Source organism: Homo sapiens, chromosome 6 (assembly GCF_000001405.40).
Source record: "Homo sapiens chromosome 6, GRCh38.p14 Primary Assembly".
NCBI lineage: Eukaryota > Metazoa > Chordata > Mammalia > Primates > Hominidae > Homo > Homo sapiens.
Genome location: NC_000006.12, coordinates 16234152 through 16255902, shown reverse-complemented (window position 1 = coordinate 16255902; position 21751 = coordinate 16234152). Strand labels below are relative to the sequence as shown.

Here is a 21751-nt window from a genome sequence, read left to right as displayed (position 1 = left end):
TTTGAAAAACATAAAAATCCTTAACAATCCTTGAAAGTCCTTTAGAAGAAGACTTTACTCCATAACAATTCCTTCCTCCCAACTTTCTTACAATGATAACATATATGAGAAGAAACGAAGTTCAAAATTCAAAAAAGGAAGGGGTAGGTAAATTATCTAGTGGTCAATCAGTATGTGCCATCATAATTAGAATTAGCAAAGACTTGCATAATTACAATACAGGTTTTTGCAAAAGCCCAAGTTGTACTCTAGAGCTGCTAAGTCCCTTTTTCTGCCAATCCATCTTTCCCAAAAGTCACAAATCTACATTCTAACTAGGTAAGGTGCAGATAATTAGGAAAATACAGGAAAAGTCAAGAAACAAAGCTCCTAGATAAAACACACCACTGACCGATTCACCATCGATAGTAGACTGTCGTGAAATGTTCATAACGTAGACTCCCAATTCCTACAGCAGAGTTTCCTGCTGGCAGTAGGGGTGGGACATGGAGGACCTACATATGTGACACTCAAACCCAGTCACGTTTTCAATCTTAAAATACACTCTCTGTTAAGAAGTAATACAAACCCCTTTTAAAGGTATCATATGGGGCTGAGTGTGGTGGCTCACACCTGTAATCTCAGCACTTTGGGAGATCAAGGTGGGTGGATCACCTGAGGTCAGGAGTTCGAGACCAGCCTGGCCAACATGGTGCAACCCCGTCTCTACTAAAAATACAAAAAATTAGCCAGGCATGGTGATGGGCGCCTGTAATCCCAGCTACTTGTGAGGCTGAGGTACAAGAATCTTTTGAACCTGGAAGGCATAGGTTGCAGTGAGCCGAGATCACCCCACTGTACTCCAGCCTGGGTGGACAGAGTGAGACTCCTTCTCAAAAAAAAAAAAAGAAAAAGTATCAGATAGTAAGAAACATGTGATGATACTTAGGAAAAATTGCAGCCAACATCCTATGAAGTTGATGGGGATTTTATTTTTTATAGAGGGAAGCTAGTTTTCAGATCTTCCGCAGCGGCTACCTATCCTTTCCCAAATGATCCTCAATTAATCTTTGACTAAAGAGGCACCAAAAGCTCTGAAGAGGATACAGCTCCCCCGACACATTGAACAACTCCCTCGTGGCTTCCCCATCTTGAGAATGTTCTACCGTAATGTTCTACCGTACTTACCATAATGGTGTGTTCAGGAAATTTGGCACGGACAAGTTTCACGAATTCCACAAAATGTTCTGAATACCCATTGGCCACATCCAGGCAAATAAACTTAACCTGTGGCACAGCTTCCAGGATGCTGGTCATCTTTTCCAGATCATTCTGCCCACTGCCTGAACTCACGGCTACATTCTGCACCAAAATAAACCAAGAAGACAGGCATAAACAGTAGCATTCAGACATCAGACCCTGCCCCCATTTATGCACCTATTCTGGGACAGTACAACAACCCTTTTCGGTCTACCCTAATCAAATGCACAGTGCACCTGCTCAAGACACATGCAACAGCAGAGGTAAAGGGGATTCATTCATTAAATTATCTAAACTTTGGCCAGGCACGGTGGCTCATGCTGTAATCCTAGCACTTTGGGAAGCCAAGGCGGGCAGATCACCTGAGGTCAGGAGTTTGAGACCAGCCTGGCCAACATGGTGAAACCCCATCTCTACTAAGAATACAAAAATTAGCCAAGTGTGGTGGCTCATGCCTGTAATCCCAGCACTTTGAGAGGCCGAGGCAGGTGGATTACCTGAGGTCAGGAGTTCGAGACAAGCCTGGCCAACATGGTGAAACTCTGTCTCTATTAAAAATATAAAAATTAGCCAGGCGTGGTGGCAGGTGCCTGTAATCCCAGCTCCTTGGGAGGCTGAGGCAGGAGAATAGCTTGAACCTGGGGGGCGGAGGTTGCAGTGAGCCGAGATTGTGCCATTGCACTCCAGTCTGGGCAACAGAGCAAGGTTCCGTCCGCCAAACCCCACCCCGCCACTAAAAAAAAAAATAATGACTACCGGCATGATTGTGTCATATCAGGGAAACTCAAGGGAGGACAATAAGCAAGAACCAAAAGTTTCCAGGAAGAAGGAGAAATGGCCAATCAACTCGGGCTTCCCCACATGAAAGCTGTGGCCTTCACCCTGAGCACCTTGCTTGGGGAGCAAGAGAGGGGATGATATCTGAAATGCCTCTGAAAAACTCTTACCTATTTTTATTTTCACTCCCAATAAAATAATAGTGCAGCATGTGACATAGTTTGGATATTGTCCTCACCCAAATCTCATGTTGAAATATGACCCCCCCCCAGTGGAGGTGGGGCCTGGTGGGAGGTGTATGGGTCATGGGGGTGGATCCCTTATCAATGGCTTGGGCCATCCCCTTGGTGATCTCTCGGTCTGAGTTCACAGGAGATCTGGTCATTAAAAGTGTGTGACCTCCCACCCTCTCTTTCTCTCTCCCACTTCGCCTTCCACCATGATTGGAAGCTTCCCAAGGCCTTCCCAAAAGCAAATGGGTGGCACTATGCTTCCTGTACAGCCTGCAGAACCATTAGCCAATTAGATCTCTTTTCTTTATAAATTACCCAGTTTCAGGTATTTCTCTAAAGCAATGCAAGAACAACCTAATACAGCATGCAAATCTCAACCTGTACACAGAATTGCAAATCTGTTTTCCTATTAAAGGGATAAAATTTCCCAAGGTGTGAAAACAAACAAGCCTGACATGATCTTTCACAACTACACTTGTACATGTTTAAATCTGAAGCCACCACATTCTCCCCTGTAACACCCTTGTCCCTTAACTTCCACCAGTGCCCCTGAACCTCACACCTCTCCCTTCTCTGAACATCTGCCCCTTGGGCAAGGACTTGCTTTCACTAATTTATGCCTTAGTGAAACTAAGACATGGATTGTTTATATTTTAACTCTTATCTCTAAACCCTGGGCCACATATGAGTGGCCTATCTTAATATCCTTTATGTTATTCCCCCAAATGATAACAATGTGGCTGCAGTGCAGAGACTGAGAGTGAGCTGATGGTTAACATGACACATATTTACTCCAGCCTTCTCTGTGCATTCACGCCTGGGCCTCGTGGTTCACAGCTCTGCCCTGTGCCAGCCCAATCCACACAAGCCCACTCTCCCTCCCACCAGAGCTCTGCTTTTTTTATCTTACTTCATTTCTGTCTAAGTATACTATATGGAACTTGAGATTGGTTGCCTTCTCTCACTGCTACTAAGTTTTTAACATTATCCCTTTTGAATTCGCCTTTTATTTGGTGGCGGGCTGTGTAGTAAGTCGATGTATCACACTTGGTAATGAAAGCCACAGTTCCAGTTAACAATACATTGCCAAAAACTCCCTTAAAGAAGGTGGAGGGAGGCCGGGCATGGTGGCTCATGCCTATAATCCCAGCACTTTAGGAGGCCGAGGTGGGTGGATCATTTCAGGTCAACATGGTGAAACCTTGTCTCTACTAAAAATACAAAAATTTAGCCAGGCTAGGTGTTGCGCACCTGTAATCCCAGCTACTCAGGAGGCTGAGGCAGGAAAATCAATTGAACCCGGGAGGTGGAGGCTGCAGTGAGCAGAGATCACGCCATTGCACTCCAGTCTGGGTGACAAGAGCAAAACTCTGCCTCAAACAAAAAAAATAAAAGAAGTTAGAGGGAGGTCTGAGAAAAAGACAAAAAGAAAATCATTATTCCCAAACTTATTATAGGGAAAAACAGAAGAAAGTGAAAACAAACACAATTCACTTGAACACAATATGGCAAAAATGAAGGACTTACTATTGAGTCAGAATTATTTTATATCCAAAACCACTTTTTCACTAATCAAAATCCACACATAATTAAAGCACAGTAACGACAACCCCAAAAAGCCAGTGAGACCTTGAAAACAGTACGACCTGAAGTCATTTTCCAATCATAAATGATCTGACCAGCAGGGAACACCTCTAACCCAGGGAGACCTGTCTGTGGCTTCAGCTCAGAACCACCTGAATGTGGCAGGAGCAAGTGCAGGCATGTTGCAGCAAGGCTTTCTGTTGTTTTTTTTTAATGGCTTCTTGAAATATAATGACATACCATACAGTTCACCCATTCAACATGCACAATTCAATGATTTTTAGTATATTTAGAGTTCTGTAACCATCATGATAGATTTTAGAATATTTTCATAACCCTCCCAAAGAAAGTCTCATACCCCTTAACCACACTCCCTCTCAAACTTCCTCAGCCCCTCAGGCCACTAATCTATTTTATGACTTAGATTTGCCTATTCTGGACATTTCCTAGAAATAGGATCATAGATGCTCTGGCCTTTGCGTGTGGCCTTTTCTTTTCTGAGACAGAGTTTCGCTCTCGTTGCCCAGGCTGGAGTGCAATGGCACAATCGTGGCTAACTGCAACCTCTGCCTCCGGGGTTAAAGCAATGTTCCTGCCTCAGCTTCCTGAGTAGCTGGGATTACAGGCATGCGCCACCACGCCCGGCTAATTTTGTATTTCTAGTAAAGACAGGGTTTCTCCATGTTGGGCAGGTTGGACTCGAACTCCCGACCTCAGGTGATCCACCCGACTCGGCCTCCCAAAGTTCTGGGATTACAGGCGTGAGCCACCGCGCCGGGCTGCGTCTGGCTTTTTCACTTAGTGAAATGTCCTCAAGGTTCATCCATGCTGTAGCCTGTATCAGACCTTGACTCCTTCTTACGGTTGAACAATATTCCACTGTATGGATATACCTTATTTTGTATGTCCTTTCACCCACTGATAGACATTTGGGTTGTGTCTACTTTTGGGCTATTATGAATAACGCTGCCATGAACATTCATGTACAAGTTTTTCTGTGGAAATGTGTTAATTTCTGTTGAGTCTATACCTAGAAATGGAATTGCTGGGTCACATGGCAACTCTTATGGTTAACGTTCCAGGAACTGACAACTGTTTTCCAAAGCAGCTGCACCATTTTCCATTCCCAGCAGTGAATAAGGGTTCCAGTTCCTCCACATCCTCAACAACATTTATTGTCTTTTTTTTTTTTAAAAAGAGACCCCTCACTATGTTGACCAGGCTGGCCTTGAACTCCTGGGTTCAAGCAATCCTCCCACCTCAGCCTCCCAAAGTGCTGGGATTACAGGCATGACCCACGGTGCCTGGCTATTATCTGTCTTTTTGATGACAGCCATCCTGGTGGGAATAATGTTTACTCAACTCTAAAGCACCTTGTTATACTCAGAAGTTTTTTCTACAGCCAAAAGACTGGATCTACCTTGAATTACCTGGCAGGAAACACAGGTCTTCCCCAAGCTCTTGGGATATAACACACTTCATCTTTCAGGGGAAAACAGACATTTCTTACAGATAAATCCTAGTATTTTAATAATACAATATGGAAACAAGTTTTCTCAGCAAATCCCTGGCAATGGCACAGGGCTAGAGAAACACCGAACTCTCAATGTCTCTCTGCTACTGACTGAAATCCTCTTGACAGCTCTGAAGATTTTGTTCCCCCCTGCAGCACTGGTAATTGATAACCAGGCTGTAGTCGTACCTGCAGGCATTCTGGGTGATTTGTGGCAAAGAGCTTCCAGTCATCCAGGGAGTAATGCTTATGAATTGCTGTAAACATGGAGTGCTAGAAAACAAAACAGCACCATTAGGATGGGAAGCCAAGTGAGAGCCCCCCTCCCTCCTCCATCTGGAGGTGGTGATCCAACAAGACAAAGGCATCAGTGTTCCTGCCATCCATGCTTAATTTGCTTTGAATGTGCTCCTAGCAGCCAAAACCAAACAAAGGTACAACCATTGAAATCATAAAACCCTGTTTCCCATTCTAATCTGGTTAGACAATACCGCATTCAGGACTAGGGAGGCTCTGCCAGGAGGCAGGAGAGGGATAAAAGAGAATTCTCAGAGCCCTACCCAGCCCACCCAGGCTCCCACCCACACCTGTATTAGGCCAAAAGCAGCACTGATGGTCCAAAGAGAAAACCAGGCAGCAGGTCCCCTGCCCAGAAGGACCATCCTAACACAAACTTCTGCTTAGCCGACCCTGAAGAACCCCACCTTATCCCTGAAAGCTTTCTCTTGTGCTCACAACCGGAACACTTCTTGCTAAAAGGTAAATCCATTAAATCTTGCCGGTGGGAATTATATAAAGTATAACCCTAAACCTATGACTACTGCCCCAGCATTTATGACCCGCTTTGTGTCAGTCGTTTCATTTAATTTTTGGAACAACTTTGAACAGCATTATTAGCTTCGTGGGCATAAATGGAGCTTAAGCAGTTTAAGTTGCCCAGGCATGGTGGCTTACGCCTGTAATCCCAGCACTTTAGGAGGCCGAGGCAGGAGGATCACTTAAGCCCAGGAGTTTGAGACCAGCCTAGCAACATGGCAAGACCCCATGTCTATTTAAAAAACATAAAACAAATCAAACTTTTAAAATTTGCTAAGCGTGGTGGCACATTCCTGTAATCCCAGCATTTGGGGAGGCTGAGGTGGGTGGATCACCTGAGGTCAGGAGTTCAAAACCAGCCTGACTAACATAGTGAAACCCCATCTCTACTAAATACAAAAAATTAGCCGGGCATGGTAGAGCACCTGTAATCCCAGCTACTCAGGAGGCTGAGGCAGGAGAATCACTTGAACCTGGGAGATGGAGGTTGCGGTGAGCCAAGATGGTGCCATTGCACTCCAGCCTGGGCAACAAGAGTGAAACTCCATCTCAAAAAAAAAAAAAAAAAAAAAAATTACAAAATGTAACAACTGCATGGCGGGGAAGAGGAAAAGGCCAGAGTCAAACTTGGATCTGACTACGGAGATTGGACACCTTGCCCTTTAACAGAAGCCTCCCACCTAACTTCTCTGGGGCTACCTATGTCCCCATCTACAACTTCTCATTCTAAACTTCTATGACTTTAGTAACTTGTGCTAGTTCTATGGATCCTAGAAACGGAAAATTCACAGTAGCCACCCATGGTTAGCTACACCAGTCTATGCTATTCTGTTAGCAGGGAGACTTCCTAGGAAAATGGGAAGAGCACAGCGAGTCCTAGGTTTTTCCTGGACTATAATCTATTATGTGAATTAATCAGACTTGACTGCTCCCTGGTTCCCCTCACTTTTATACTAACACATAATTCATTAGTAGCAATGGCTGATGACAGAGCAGAGCAGGGAAAGGGTGAGGAGAAAAAAATACCAGTTCCTTAGCAATTAATTTATTAGCCTCTGGCCCAACGCTCAGTAGGGGCTGAGGTCTGACAGACAATGCAAGTGATCACGGAATCCGACAGACCACCCCTACTCCATTTTGGGAGCTCATAATTTATTTGAGAATATTTTCCGTCGAATCACTGGCTAATAATGAATCTCAGTGTCTCCTGTGGTCAGACTTGCTGCCCACAGTGAGAAGCTCTCTCAACTAATTGGATTTATCTTTTCACTTGGCAGGCATTATCCACAGGAAAGACAGAACCCCTGAGTGCAGCAGACATTCCACATCTAGGATGCAGAAGACGCTCTGCACCTCACCCATAAATGTCCTGCCCACAAATGGGTTTTCCTTTATTTTTCCCAAAGCGAGGACACCATTTTTAATTTTTTTTTAATTTTATTTTAACAAACAGTACTTCTCAGATTGATCTATACAATGAATTTTTTTTTTTTTTTTTTTTTTTTTTTGAGACAGGGTCTTCTTGCTCTGTCACCCAGGCTGGAGTGCAGTGGCGCAATCTTGGCTCACTGCAACCTCCGCCTCCCAGCTCAAGTGATCTTCCCACCTCAGCCTCCCGAGTAGCTGGGACTACAGGCTCACACCACCACACCTGGCCAATTTTCATATTTTTTTGTAGAAATGATGCTTCGCCATGTTGCCCAGTCTGGTCTTGAACTCCTGAGCTCAAGCAATCCGCCTGCCTCCACCTCCCCAAATCCTGGGATTACAGGTGTGAGCCACTATGCCCAGCCAAAGCAAGGATATTAGCTACCCTCTTTACAGAAAATTAGGCTGGTGTACTTGGCTAAAAGAGACTTTGAGCTTTCAATGTGATCATCCATTTAAGTTAAGGGGTAAATTCCTTAGATTCTAGAGTCAGTTTCAGCTGGAATCCTGATTCTCTCTCTGTATACATCTGGCTGAGGGCCTAGGGCAAGTGACCTACCCCTCCCCTCTCTGCCTCAGTTTCCTCATCTGTAAAAGGAACCTATCTTGTTGAGTTGCGTCAAGAATTAAGAGATACAGGCCGGGCATGGTAACTCATGCCTGTAATCCCAGCACTTGGGTAGGCCAAGGCAGGCGGATCACCTGAGGTCAGGAGTTCAAGGCCAGCTTGGCCAACACGGTGAAACCCCATCTTCACTAAAAATACAAAAATTAGCTGGGCATGGTGGCATGTGCCTGTAGTCCTAGCTACTTGGGAGGCTGAGGCAGGAGAATTGTTTGAACCAGGGAGGCGAATGTTGCAGTGAGCCAAGATCACGTCACTGTACTCCAGCCTGGGCGACACAGTGAGACTCTGTCTTAAAAAAAAAAAAAAAGAAATACATTATCTGCAGTGTTTCGTACATAAGCGCTCGATACATGTATTCAACATAATTATACAGTAAATGCTGCAGCACGGACTGCATACAAAGCAGCTCTGTCTTAATTTTAAAGGGGTTGTCACTTTTCTGCAATATGGCACTCTTCATGTTGTCTAGCTTCTTTTTGTATCTCTAATTTCCAAAACCATCACAGTCATTTTCACAGAAGCAATGGATGCAGATCTAGACCTTCTCATTGAACCCAAAGTCCAGACACCGTCCACTTTCTGATTGAAGGGAAAGACAGAGAATGACCCAAAGCAGCTCACATTTCTACTCTTCCTTGTGTCTGAATAAAGCCAGGGTCGGCTCCTGATAACCTGTCCACAGTGTGAGCAGCAAAGGGAAAAAACAAAAGCCTACCGCCTCACCTGTGACATCACGGCTGCCATCTCAAACGTGCCCACAGTGTCCATGTTGGCCACGATGATGGGAATCCCTGAGTAGGTCTGCTTTGAATTTCGAAACGTGAAGGTGCGTTCAAGATCCACCTGTTGGCCAAAAAAAAAGAAAGAAAAAGGGAAAGAAATGAGTGCTTTGCTCTTATGTGAAATGTGCAGAATTTCTGGAGTTTGGAGCGAGTAGGAACAAGACAAAGGTCCCTGGATTCTCTTAGGGGTCAAAGACAGGTATTCCAAAGACACCAGAGCGGAAATTCCGCCGTCAAGACAAGCCTCGGAATCGGAAGCTCTCTCCTACTTTCCCAGCCTCTCCAACCCCACTGCCTCCTTCTATCCACTTCCCTAAAGACCCACATACATGTTATCTTCGCCCCACCCGCAAGCCCTATAGAAACCATTCCCCTCCTGGGAGGATCTGCTCCACTCTTCCTTGCCAACCATGGCCCTCCTCCTGGAACAATCCCTTCACTTCTTACCTTTCACCTAGAGCCACACTCCAAATTCACCCTGCAGTGAGCGCCACACAATTAATCCCTTCGCCTTTTACCCTCCACGGCTGCTTTAATTATGAGGATCTTTCAAAAAGCTGGTGGAAAGTACATTGCAACCATATGTTCCTGCATATCAACACTTGTTCCTTTGACTTGCAAGCAGCTGGGTGGGGAGGTCAGGGGGCTCCAATTCTCCTGCAACTTCAAGATCGGGGCATGTAGGACTAACCTTGCTATCGGCAATCCAGAACAACACAGTCACAAGGGTGGGCTTGACAGAAGCCACGTGCTAGATAGAGCCAGGAACTCACCAAGAGCTAGAAGAGTCCGAATTACTTCTCTGACCCACGGCAGATGCCAGCCTGTCTGCCCACCCACCATCCTCAGCCTGCTCTTATCCCAGGAAGGCTAACTGCTACAGGCTCCATTTCTCAAGTTCATTTCTGGCTGGGATGGGCCAATGGAGGACACTGGGTGGGAAACTGGAGGACAGTGGCAGGCAGAGGTTGGCGGAAGTCAGGGTAGTTCTCCCAGAACCCCTCTGCCTTAGACAGCTTCTCCAGAACAGCTGGGTTGCCTCCGGGCCTGGATCCTCCGACCAGAGAGGCCTGCGTATTCCTTGTTCCAGCTTTCCCTAAGCAAGCCCAGTCCCTTCCTGGGCTCCAGAGCACTGTCTTCTCCCTCCGACCCTCACCCTAAGGAAGGGGTGGCTTCTCGCTGTTGCTGATCTCTGGGGTGCCTTAATATCCTCAGTTGTGTCAGAATGCCCCGCATTCAATTCCATGTTTTAAACAGTCAGCATCGTTTGTTTCTCTGGCTGGACTCCGATAGACACAAACTACATTAGAAGTGGGTGCTTCCCCAAGGGGAACTGGCCAGAGGAGCACAGGTATGAATCTTATGCTTCTGCAGTAACTTAGACCTACATTAACCCTGGCTTCATGAATTACACCAGCAAGAGTCATTTTCTGCCAGTGTTTACCTAGATGCTCCTCTCATTTTTTTCACTTGAGGCAACTTTCACTTTGCGATCAGCATTAAGTCAGAAAACACCATGGGACCGCTCTGGCCCTTTAGCCTTTACATTTCTCTTGCTTCTCAACACCGGGTTTTGTGTCCAGAAGGCGTCCTGGGTGAATGATGTCATAAACATGACTGCACAGGCCTCACACAGCCATCAGTGAGGAGAAATGAGATGCTGGAAGTGCACGAACCTACGCAGTGGCACGTCCCTTTCTCCACCTCCTTCCTGATGACTCTGGGTTCTACTTCAGTGGAGCACGTTTATAGTGACATTCTGAAAGAGAACTGAAGGGACCTACCCATAGCAACCCTGTGTGTGGCTAATGGCTCTGTAACATTTGGCTTGGCAGGCTTGAAACAATCAATTCCTTGGTCTCAAATTACTCTTCTATCCTCCAACAGGCATGGGGCTAGCTGCTACACTCTGCACCCGGCTGAGATCACAATGGGTTTTTCTTGGCACTCCAAAACCTATCAGCAGGACACAAAACACAGAGCTCTTCATGGAAAAGGGCAGCCTTAACAGTAAACGCTTCCCCTCATTTCCAGTCCTTTTTATGAGCTAGCTCTTTGCCATCGTTAATTCTAAGAATGAAAAATAAAATGATCTTCCCCAACTTTATCCACCCAGACACACACACATAACCCAGGCCAGTTGTTCACTAGCAGAGATAAATATTTTAAATATTTCAGCCTCCCAGGAACAACACTTGGCACTTAGTCTGGCACAGCCGGCCAATACGCCAAATATAGATTAGATTCCCTGTCTAAGCCTGACCTGAAAGGGAACATAAAGTAACAAAGTCCCCTCCCCCACCCACAAACACACATCTCTGCTGCTCTCTAACAGGCCTTCATTAAAGCCAGTCCTGCCACCCAACATGTCAGGGGCTCAAAAGTGCAAATGGGCTGGCGTGGTAGCTCACACCTGTAATCCCAGTACCGTGGGAGGCTGAGGCAGGCAGATTGCTTGAGCTCAGTTCAAGACCAGCCTGGGCAACACGGTGAAACCCCATCTCTACACAAAATAGAAAAAACTAGCCAGGCTTGGGTGGTGCGAGCCTGTAGTCCCAGCTACTCAGGAGGCTGAGGTGGGAGGATTGATTGAACACCGGAGGCTGAGGCTGCAGTGAGCCATGATCATGCTACTGCATGCCAGCCTGAGTGACAAGAGTGAGACCTTGTCTCAAAAAAAAAAAAAAAAAAAGTACAAATAGAGGACAACCTACCACATTCCTAAATAATTCAATGTGGTAAGTCCAACGAACAAACTGCTACATAAAATAGGTTCTAACCTCCTACCCTGAAAAAAAAAAAAAGCAATTTCATTCACAACCAGAAAGGCACCAGAACATGGTAGCGGGGAGCCGGCCCTGGCCCCCAGTCCACCCCTCTTCCCTTCTCACCCAAATCCTTATGTGTGCACAGAGGAAAAGGCCCCCACCTTCAGTCAGCACACAAAGCTGTGTGCATACCCACGTACTTTTCCATGAACAACTGCCACTTAGCCACTCTGGGTTGGAGGTGAGCACACCAGCATCATGGGTGGCCCTTGGAAACACACCAGGGCAAGAGGCCCATGCAGGCCTTAGAATCAGCTCAAAGTTACTTGGGGAAGGAGATCCAGGATCCTGAGTACTTGGAGCGTGGCCTAAGGAACAGCATAGCCCACAGGCCCTGCCCAGTGAGGAGGGATGCAATTTGGGGGGCAGACGTGGGACCCAGGACAGAGGCTCCTTTTCCTAGATCTACAGATGGTACCGAGTAAAGCAATTCTTTTACATATTGTATTTTATTACATAATCTATTATATAGATCGCTCATTAGCTGTAACACCTGTCTGAGTACAGGGACGTCTTCCAACTTTGTAGTCCTAGTGGCTCAAAAAGCATGGGGTAAACTAATGGCTGGCTAAAAGGTAAGAATACTGTGTTCTGGCCCCCAGCCTTTTGCAGTGTTTGGTGGCCCCAGCCCAGACCTCTGAATGTGGATCCAAGCCCTGAAAGCCTCACCATCAGTTATCAGGCTCGTGAGAAGCTCATGCCCAGCTGCAGTGCTACCAGAGAGCCGCAGGGTTCCACAAATGGAAAGGGCTTCAGAGGCTGGTCCAGCACACCCGGGTACACATCAGAATCCTCTTAGAACTGGTTCCAAAATACTCGTGCTCCAGCTGCCTCAAACTTCATGAATCACCACCTTTGTGCTGGACATATTATGTGTATTTTGGAGTGTTTCCCCAGGCGATTCTAACGCATTCATGACTCAGAACAGCGCCAAACTCTTTAATTTTCCAAACCAAAATTTACAAAGGCTGTCTGTTATGGGTTGAATTATGTCTCCCCCCCGCCCCCAAAATGTTGAAGTCCTAACCTCCAGTACCTGTAAATGTGACCTTACTTAGTTAACAGAGTCATTGCAGATGATCAAGCTAAGGTGAGATCAAGAGGGTGAGCCCTAGTCCAATATGACTGATGTTCTTATAAAAAGGATAAATTTCAGGGCACATAATCCCAGCACTTTAAGAGGCCAAGGCAGGCGAATCACCTGAGGTCGAGAGTTCAAGACCAGCCTGACCAACATGGAGAAACCCTGTCTCTACTAAAAATACAAAATTAGTTGGACGTGGTGGTGCATGCCTATAATCCCAGTTACTCGGGAGGCTGAGGCAGGAGAATTGCTTGAACCTGGGAGGCGGAGGTTGCGGTGAGACAAGATCACGCCATTGTACTCCAGCCTGGGCAACAAGAGCGAAACTCCTTCTCAAAAAAAATAAATAAAAAATAAAATAAAAAGGAGAAATTTGGACACAGATGCACACATAGGGAGAACCTCATGTGGAGATGAAGGCAGAGATTGGGGACAACTGTCAGCAAACCAGCAGAAGCTGGGAGAAGGGCAAGAAACAGAATCTCCCTCCCAGCCCTCAGAAGGAATCAACCCTGCCAACATCTTGGACTGGGACTGCTACCTTCCAGAACTGTAAGATAATAAATTCTTGTTACTTAAGCCACCAAGTATGTGGTCCTCAGTTACAGCAGCCCCAGGAAACCAGCATACAGGCAAAGGTTAAAAAAAAAAAAAAAAAGTAATTAGTGACAGAGCTTGGACTAAAACACAGGTATCCTTCCTCCCAGCCACTCTGCCATGTTCTCATCCCCCTCAGGCCAACCAGTAGCAGACGGTGAAAGCTAGACCAGAACTCTTCTCACGGGACTGCTGGGGAAAAAACTGCTATGAAGTTTTAAGCAGACTGAACATCTGTTGTGTCTTCTCTGTCCTTAAACAAAATGAGTAATTTGCTGCGATTCTCTTCAATGCCTGATAATTTATTAATAAGTTTTTTAGGGGTTTATTTTTTGTTTTTGTTTTAATTCTTATCAGCTGGGTGCAGTGGCTCACACCTGTAATCCCGGCACTTTGGGAGTCTGAGGCAGGCAGATCACCTGAAGTCAAGAGTTCAAGACCAGCCTGGCCAACACGGTGAAACCCCATCTCTACTAAAAATACAAAAATTAGCAGAGCGTGGTAGGTGCCTGTAATCCCAGCTTCTCGGGAGCCTGAGGAAGGAGAATCGCTTGAACCCAGGAGGCGGAGGTTGCAGCGAGCCAAGATCACACCACTGCACTCCAGCCTGGGTGACAGAGTGAGACTCCGTCTCTAAATAAATAAATAAATAAGTACATTCTTACTAGCTTAAGGACTAGAGTAGAATGTTAGAGCCAGAAATGGGTACTAAGGAAGAAAACACTCAGGGAGAATGCAGGCTCCCCAGCGTAACAGATGAAAACAAAGGTCTTGTCTCAATCCACAAACTCATCACTTCTCAGAAAAAGATTATCCAAATGTCCCCACATGACCCTGTGGCGCTTTATTCTTCCATGCCAGGGGCTGGACATTTGAGAGATGAATGCCTCCCTGGAGAATCCAGGCGAAGGCCACCTGGGCCACTGCTACCTGTATTCTTTGCCTCTCAGAGGTGACCTCAGATTCATCTCATTCATGTTCATTTATGGAAGGCTGGTGGAAATGTCCTTGCAGGAGTCCTGAAGCTTCTGAGGGGGAGATCACTCTTACTGTCCGTTTCCTGCTATAGCCTGATGATCCATTGCTGGGCCTGGCTCTTAGCAAAACTGTCACGAGGATAAGCCCATCATCAGCTGTCAAAACCCTCCTCCCTCAGCCAGACTCTACTCCCAGGGTGTACGTTCTCTTTCCTGGCTCTGTACAAATCTGCTGTTAGGCTCAATGTCGGTCATCTACCCTTCAGTTTCCAATTTGCCTCCAGATATTACTTCTGCCAGGATGCACATATTTTAAGCTTCTGATTGTGCAAGGAAAAGTTTTTATCTGCCTGTGAAAAATTTCAGGCATCAACAAGCAAACTGAGAAAACATTGAGAGGGGATTAGGGAGGCCTAACTAGATCCCTCAACGCCACCGAGGCAAGTAAAGTCAGATCATGGGGGTGGCCAGCCAGGCAGCAGCCTCACGCATCAGGGAGCTAAACCATCACGGCAACCGATTAGAAAGGCAATGCTGGTTAACCTGAGTCTCCAGGCCCGTGGCTGGCAAACTCCCACGAACATAAAAATACAAAAGAGACTCCTCAAGGGCACTGAGTTCTCACTGCAATGTGTACATGAAGATTGCAAAGATGCTATCCCAAACTGGAACATTAGTTACAATCTGCCCAAATTATGAAGCCAAGTGTTGCATGACATTGTCGCATGATGTGATAGTATTCCCCGAGAAGGAGTAATTCATTCTATTACATAAATTTCATTTTAGCTTTAGAGACAGGGTTGTCCAGGCTGAAGTGCAGTGGCACCATCATAGCTCACTGTAACCTCCAGCTCCTGGGCTCAAGCCATCCTCCCGCCTCAGCCTTCCAAGTAGCTGGGACTACAGGTGAGCACCACTGCCCTAATTTTTTAAATTTTTGTTGTAATCTCCAGCTCGTGGGCTCAAGCCATCCTCCCGCCTCAGCCTTCCAAATAGCTGGGACTAGAGGTGTGCACAACTGCCCTGGCTGATTTTTTAAATTTTTGTAGAGCTGAGGTCTTGCTTTGTTGCCTAGGCTGGCCTCGAACTCCTGGCCTCAAGCAATCCTTCCACCTCAGGTTCCTAAAGTGCTGGGATTACAGGTGTGAGCTACTGTGCCTGGCCCTATTACATTAATGTTCAATATTTTACCTTCTCAACATGTTTTCTGGTTCAGAAAATAGGTATATCTTTGTTTTGAACATCCAATTTTCTGAAAAATGAGTTTCTCTCTTCTAAATACATTTTGAATATTTAAAGAATATTGAGGCCACCAAATTATTAGCACATCCAGAATCCCCCTATTTCATCTTGGTCTTGCCTTAGGAATTGGCTACAGCTCATGCTTCCAGAGGCCCAGGCCTGCCCTCCAAACTGTTTTTGTTCCAAGAGAGGCCCCCTCTTTAGCACCTGAAAGGTCATGAGGGACAGGCACAGGGTCACCCAATCTGGGGCGATAAGTTTTAATCATTCCTCCCCTACGTCCTCCAGTCCTGCCGGGCTCCAAACCAGCCAATGCTGCTGCTTACAGAAGGCCACTTGGTTTAGTCATTGGCTAACGCGGAGGCTTCCCCAATCCAAGCAAGCCCTCGGCTGGCAGCCCCAGGCACTGCAGTTAGGCCTGGCACCGGAGTGGGCAGCGGACTTCTTTGCTGAGGGGATTTATTTATGGTCTTGTTTGTGGAGCTGAGTGGACGGAGCTGTGCAGGTTGGCCCAGCCTCCTCGTGTTTACTCCTTCAGCCCCAGCCTTCAACCGTGTCCGGTTTCCTCACCTTCCTCTCCAGCTCTCAGCAAAGCCAGTCACCAGCGCACACCACCCCGGGGCACTCTGCCTTTCAGGCAACTAGTTTATCCTTCAGGGACTGGCCTCCCTTCCCCCAGCCTCAGGCTATTTCCAGTCCGGTCTCCACCTGTTCCTTAGGATTTGAGGACATCCAGGCAGAACCAGGGAAATGCCCGAGGCTTCCAATTCGCCCCCACCTCTCTCACCCCAAAGCTTTCGAAACTCTTCTCCAGGGCTAGGCTGGGACCGCGGGCTGTCCAGTACCGCTGAGTCCCCAAGCCCCACTGCCAGCAAGGCCGCCAAACTCAGAAAGGAAACCCTGAACTTGTGCCCTGGGTTCTGGTTTTTCAGACGCGTTCACGAAGTTCCACCGCTGGACCCGAAGCGAAAGCAGCAGCAATTATCAGCACTAGGAGACGCAGCCAAAAATCACCGGGATCTGCAGTTGTTTTTCTCGTCCTCTCTCCCCTAGCTCCAGTTTCCTTTTCTTGCTATAAGCGCCCTCGTACCCCTATTCCTTCTAAACCAACTGGCCACTGGATCTCGCTCATCTGTGGTCGAGTTTCACTGTGAACTTCCCCTAGGCCACCCAACGGGACCGACGTGTAGAGAATTTCATGGGCCCCCGTATCACCGCCCTTAAAGACACCTCACGTCCTGGCAGGTGCTGGGGCGCGGGAACGGGGGCGCAGCGCCCCAGTCTCAAACACCAAAGCAGGCAGGGTAACCCGGTGCCACCCCCTTCCACCCACTTGCCCCGCGCCACCCGGAAAAAAAAATCCCACCCCACTGCGACTTCCGAACGTCCCCCACCTCGGCTCGGCTCTTGAGGCTGCTCCGCTTAGGTCGGAGCAGGACATCCTTGAAGTCGAGCTTGAGGTCCGCATCTATGCGGGGCATGGTGCAGCGGCTCCTGGCTGCGGCGGCGGCGACGGCGGGGCGGGGGCGCCTGCGCGGGGCGGCGCGGGGAGCGCCGGGGCTGCTGTGCCGCGGCCGGGAGCTGGCGTGGGCCGGGTGCGCACGCCGCGGTCTTAAACACGCCCCGCCGACCCGCGGTCACGCTTGGCCCGCCCCGGGCACCGCCTCCGCCTCAGGCAGGGGTTGAGAGGCAGACTGGTTAGGGACAGATTGGCGGCGAAGCCCTTCCTCCTCGCGCCGCCGCCCCCGTCCTTCCCCCTCAGGTGTACAGCCCGTGGCAGTGACCGAATGGGGACGGGGGAGGGAAATGCGCACCGTTCTGTTTGTCCCCAGGGTCCCCGATGGAGAGGGGACTTAGCGTGTGGCTGCCTTATCCAAGGGAAAAGTCGCTCCCTGAGAGCTTTTACTTTTTTTTTTTTTTTTTTGAGACAGTCTCACTGTCGCTCAGGCTGGAGTGAGTGGCGCTATCGCCGCTCATCGCAGCCTCGACTTCCTGGGCTCAAACGATTCTCATGCCTCAGCCTCCTCGAGTACAGGCGCACGCCGCCACACCCAGCTTATTTTAAAAATTATTTCCTAGAGGCGGGGTTTCACCATATTGCCCAAGCTGGTCTCGAGCCCCTGACCTCAAGTGATCCGCCTGCCTCGGCCTCCCAAAGTGCTGGGATTACAGGCGTGAGCCACCGTGCCCGGCGGATTCTCCTTTTTTAAAATTCAAGCCCGGTGTGCTCACCCAGTGTTGAGGAGCACGTCTCTCACTTGCCAAAGAACCAGAAACCCCAGGGAGGTTGTATAGAATTAAGGAAAAGAACGTGGGCAGTTAACTGTTTAGCTGTACTGGGATTGTGGAGGCCATGATTCCCTTTGGACTTGTTGTTAAGAGACAAGGTCTCACTGTGTTGCCCAGGCTGGTCTTGAACTACTGGGTTCAAGCAATCCTCCCGCCTCAGCTTCCCAGTGTTGGGACTACTGGCGTGAGCCACTGCGCCCAGCCTGGATTTCAGGATTTTTGTTTAAGAAAAACAGTGAGGTCTGTAGTCGACGCAGATCCTGAGATTTGAGGAGCCTGAGTCCCCTCTGAGGGTTACCAGTGATGTGAGTTCGAGGGGTTACCAGTGATGTGAGTTCATTGATTCACTTATTGACCTTACCGACCTTTTATTATACATTTGAAATGTGCTGCCGGGCTTCATGCATCATCTCATTCACTCTCAGAACAACCCAATGAAGAAAGAGCCATTTCACAGATAAGGAAAAACGAGGCTTCTATAAATGAAATAACTTGCCTAAGGCCGCAGAAAAATTCAATATAAATTTCTCAGTCCTTAAAACTTGCTACAACTATTCACTGAAGCTGCTTTTGTCCTGGAACATCTCTGCCTGAGTTTGAAACCTGGTTCCACCACTGTCTAGCTAGGTGACCTTAGGGGAGTCAATTTCTCTAAGTCTCAGTTTTCTCATAAAAGGGGTGGGGGCAGGAGGGGGGGTTAACCCTATCTCCTCCCTGGTTTTTGTGAGAATTAAAGTGTGTGTGTTTATGTAAGCACAATGTCTGTCCCATAGTAGTTGCTCAATGCATGGTAGTTACAGATTTGTAGTCACATGTTACATTATGTGCATTGTGTTTGTATTTTCAAACTAGAATGCTAACTGCACAAAGGCAAGAATCATCTTTCATTCTCTTCCATTTTTCTGCAGCCTCGAACTGAGCTAGCAACTGTTCTCCTTGAGCTAGCATGTGATAAGGCTGACCATAAAAGATACATCACAATATTCAATTTAACACAAATGTCTGAAGATGATAAAGGTCTCAGCCCATCCCACATGGTTTCATTAGCTATACCCCAAAGGAAGTTCATGAAGTTTCAGGGAAGGAAATGAAACTTATCAGAGAGAATGAAAGTAGCCACAATTAGTCCAGCCCATGCAATGTTTATAACCCTTGACGAATTCTTGGGAGCTGGCCAGATGTGCTGCTTATTTGTGAAGTACGGAAAGGAAACCTAATTCTGATCTTTTAAAGATTAAATAGAGGTAAAATATAATTACTAGATGGTATGATTATTTTTAAATTATTATCCTTAAAGGGAAGAGAAACTGACCTTGTTAAGCATCTGCCAGCGTGGATGAGGGCTTTATTCATTGTTTCATACATGGTCTTAAAGGAGAAGCTTCTGTAGGTTGTCCTTGCTCTTTCCCTCTGGTTCTCTTTCTTTCTGGCTAGCCCTCCTTTTATTAGAATAGACAGAGAAGTTCATTTTACACATTCCATTCCCTCTCCCTCTGGAACATTCCTCTATAACTGCCCTCTTCTCTGACACAAAATCATACTCCTGTTAGAGTCAGCCTGAGTCCCTGATTCTTCTAAAACCGGCTTTGCAAAAATTATGACAGTGAGAAAAATCTGACATAGGAAAATGACAACAGTGAAAGAAATCTGACCTAACTGACTCCATCTTGCTTTTAACCGCCAAGGTGTCCTTGTTCATTCCTGGGTGTAGGTTGAACTAACTATGGGAGGAATTGAGTTTATAGTTTAACTTTGAAACAAAGATGAGAACAGCACGTTCCCAAAACAAACCCCCTCCTGGCTTGGGGACCAGCGCACCTTTGTAAAACTAACAAAGTAGCTACAGATTACAAATCATGGCTCAGGCATCATGTAGCCAGAGGCCATAAGATTCCCAACCTCCCCAGTTGCTCCTATGAATAACATCACTATTGAAAACCTAAGATTGGTGTTAGAGATATGTTTCAGTCAGTCCCCCCATTCTGATGGACCAGCTGGCACCACCCTGACCAGTAAACTGGCTCAGCTAGTTCTGTGATCCCACTCGGAAACGGAAGACAGCAAGGAAAACCCACTTCAACAGCCTATTATTTCATCCCTTACCTGACCAATCAGCATTCCCCACTCCCTAGTTCCTGCCCACCAAATTATCCTTAAAAAAGCCTGGTCTCTGAATTTTTGGGGAGACTGATTTGAGCAATAAAACTCCAGTCTCCTGTTAGCTGGCTCTGCATTTATTAAACTCTTTCTGTATTGCAGTAATGCTGTCTCAGTAAATTGGCTCTATCTATGCAGCAGGCAAGAAGAACACATAGGGCAGTTCCACTCCCACACCAACTGAGACTCCTTTCAACATCCTCTGCTTCTCATTACTCTAATACAACAATAATAGTTTCCCATCAGTACAATGACTTTATGTTAAAGTTTTCACTGTCTAGACAAAGCCATAAGTGATATCCAGAGTTCAATTTATTAACATTTTATTATGGGAGGGGAGGGTTATCCCCAAAATTACATGGGAAGATAACCTCCAAAATTATGTGGGATAAATTCCACTTGGTCACAGTGCATAATCCTTTTTTGTATTGATGGATCCTATTTGCTAATATTTTGTTAAGGATTTGTGCATCTGAGCTTATAAGGGACATTACTCTGTAGTTTTCTTTTCTTTTGATGCCTTTATCAGGGTAATAGTGGCCTCATAGAATTAGTTGGGAAATGTTCCACGCTCTGTTTTCTGAAAGAGCTTGTGTAGGCTTGGGATTAGTTCTTTAAATATTTAATAGAATTAACCAGTGAACTAAAATTATGTGAAGTGATAAAATGGTTTATTTTTAGTAAATAAGTATCTCTCAAAACCCAGAAATAAAGTTAAGTATTAAAGGCTTTTTGATAATTCAGAATTATAGTATTTAATATTAAGGGATAAGAGCAAATCTGGAGGCATCACACTACCTGATTTCAAACTATACTATAAGGCCATAGTCACCAAAACAGCATGGTGCTGGTACTGGTATAAAAATGGGCACATAGACCAGCGGAAAACAATAAAGAACCCAGAAATAAACCTACATACCTACAGCCAATTGATCTTCAACAAAGCAAACTAAAACATGAAGTGGAAAAAGGACACCCTTTTCAACAAATGGTGCTGGGATAATTGGCTAGTCACATGTAGGAGAATGAAACTGGATCCTCATCTCTCACCTTATACAAAAATCAACTCAACATGGATTAAGGGGCCGGGTGAGGTGGCTCATGCCTGTAATCCCAACACTTAGGGAGGCTGAGGCAGGCAGATCATCTGAGGTCAGGAGTTTGAGACTAGCCTGGCCAACATGGTGCAACCCTGTCCCCACTAAAAATACAAAAATTAGCTGGGCATGGTGACACCGGTCTGTAGTCCCAGGTACTCGGGAAGCTGAGGTGGGAGAATTGCTTGAACCCGGGAGATGGAGTTTGCAGTGAGCCGAGATTGGGCCACTGCACTCCAGCCTGGGCGACAGTGTGAGACTCCATCTCAAAAAAAGAAGAAGAAGGTGGATTAAGAACTTAAACCTAAGACCTGAAACTATAAAAATTATAGAAGATAACATTGGAAAAACCCTTCTAGACATTGGCAAGGATTTCGTGACCAAGAACCCAAAGCAAATGCAATAAAAAAAAAAGATAAATAGCTGGGACCTAATTAAACTAAAGAGCATGGCAAAGGGAACAGTGAGCAGAGTAAACCG

General features: G+C 46.6%; 1 protein-coding gene across 2 annotated transcripts in view, besides 2 other annotated features; it reads right to left on the bottom strand.

The window, feature by feature from the left end:
- GMPR (guanosine monophosphate reductase) overlaps positions 1-17316 on the bottom strand; it is a 56963-nt gene extending 39647 nt beyond the window's left edge. For both annotated transcript variants that reach the window (NM_006877.4, XM_047418656.1), the window contains exons 1-4: positions 17123-17316; positions 8942-9061; positions 5536-5619; positions 1168-1341 (exon numbers count right to left, since the gene is read on the bottom strand). In NM_006877.4, coding sequence (NP_006868.3) covers positions 1168-1341; positions 5536-5619; positions 8942-9061; positions 17123-17209 — 465 coding nt within the window. In that variant the 5' untranslated portion in view covers positions 17210-17316. The remainder of the gene's footprint in view (positions 1-1167; positions 1342-5535; positions 5620-8941; positions 9062-17122) is intronic.
- Positions 17214-17313: a silencer, noted in NCBI's record as "silent region_16957". NCBI's record gives its function as "represses an Ori minimal core promoter by ATAC-STARR-seq in GM12878 lymphoblastoid cells {active_cell/tissue: GM12878}" and the evidence as "EXISTENCE:reporter gene assay evidence [ECO:0000049][PMID:35858748]".
- Positions 17434-17533: a silencer, noted in NCBI's record as "silent region_16956". NCBI's record gives its function as "represses an Ori minimal core promoter by ATAC-STARR-seq in GM12878 lymphoblastoid cells {active_cell/tissue: GM12878}" and the evidence as "EXISTENCE:reporter gene assay evidence [ECO:0000049][PMID:35858748]".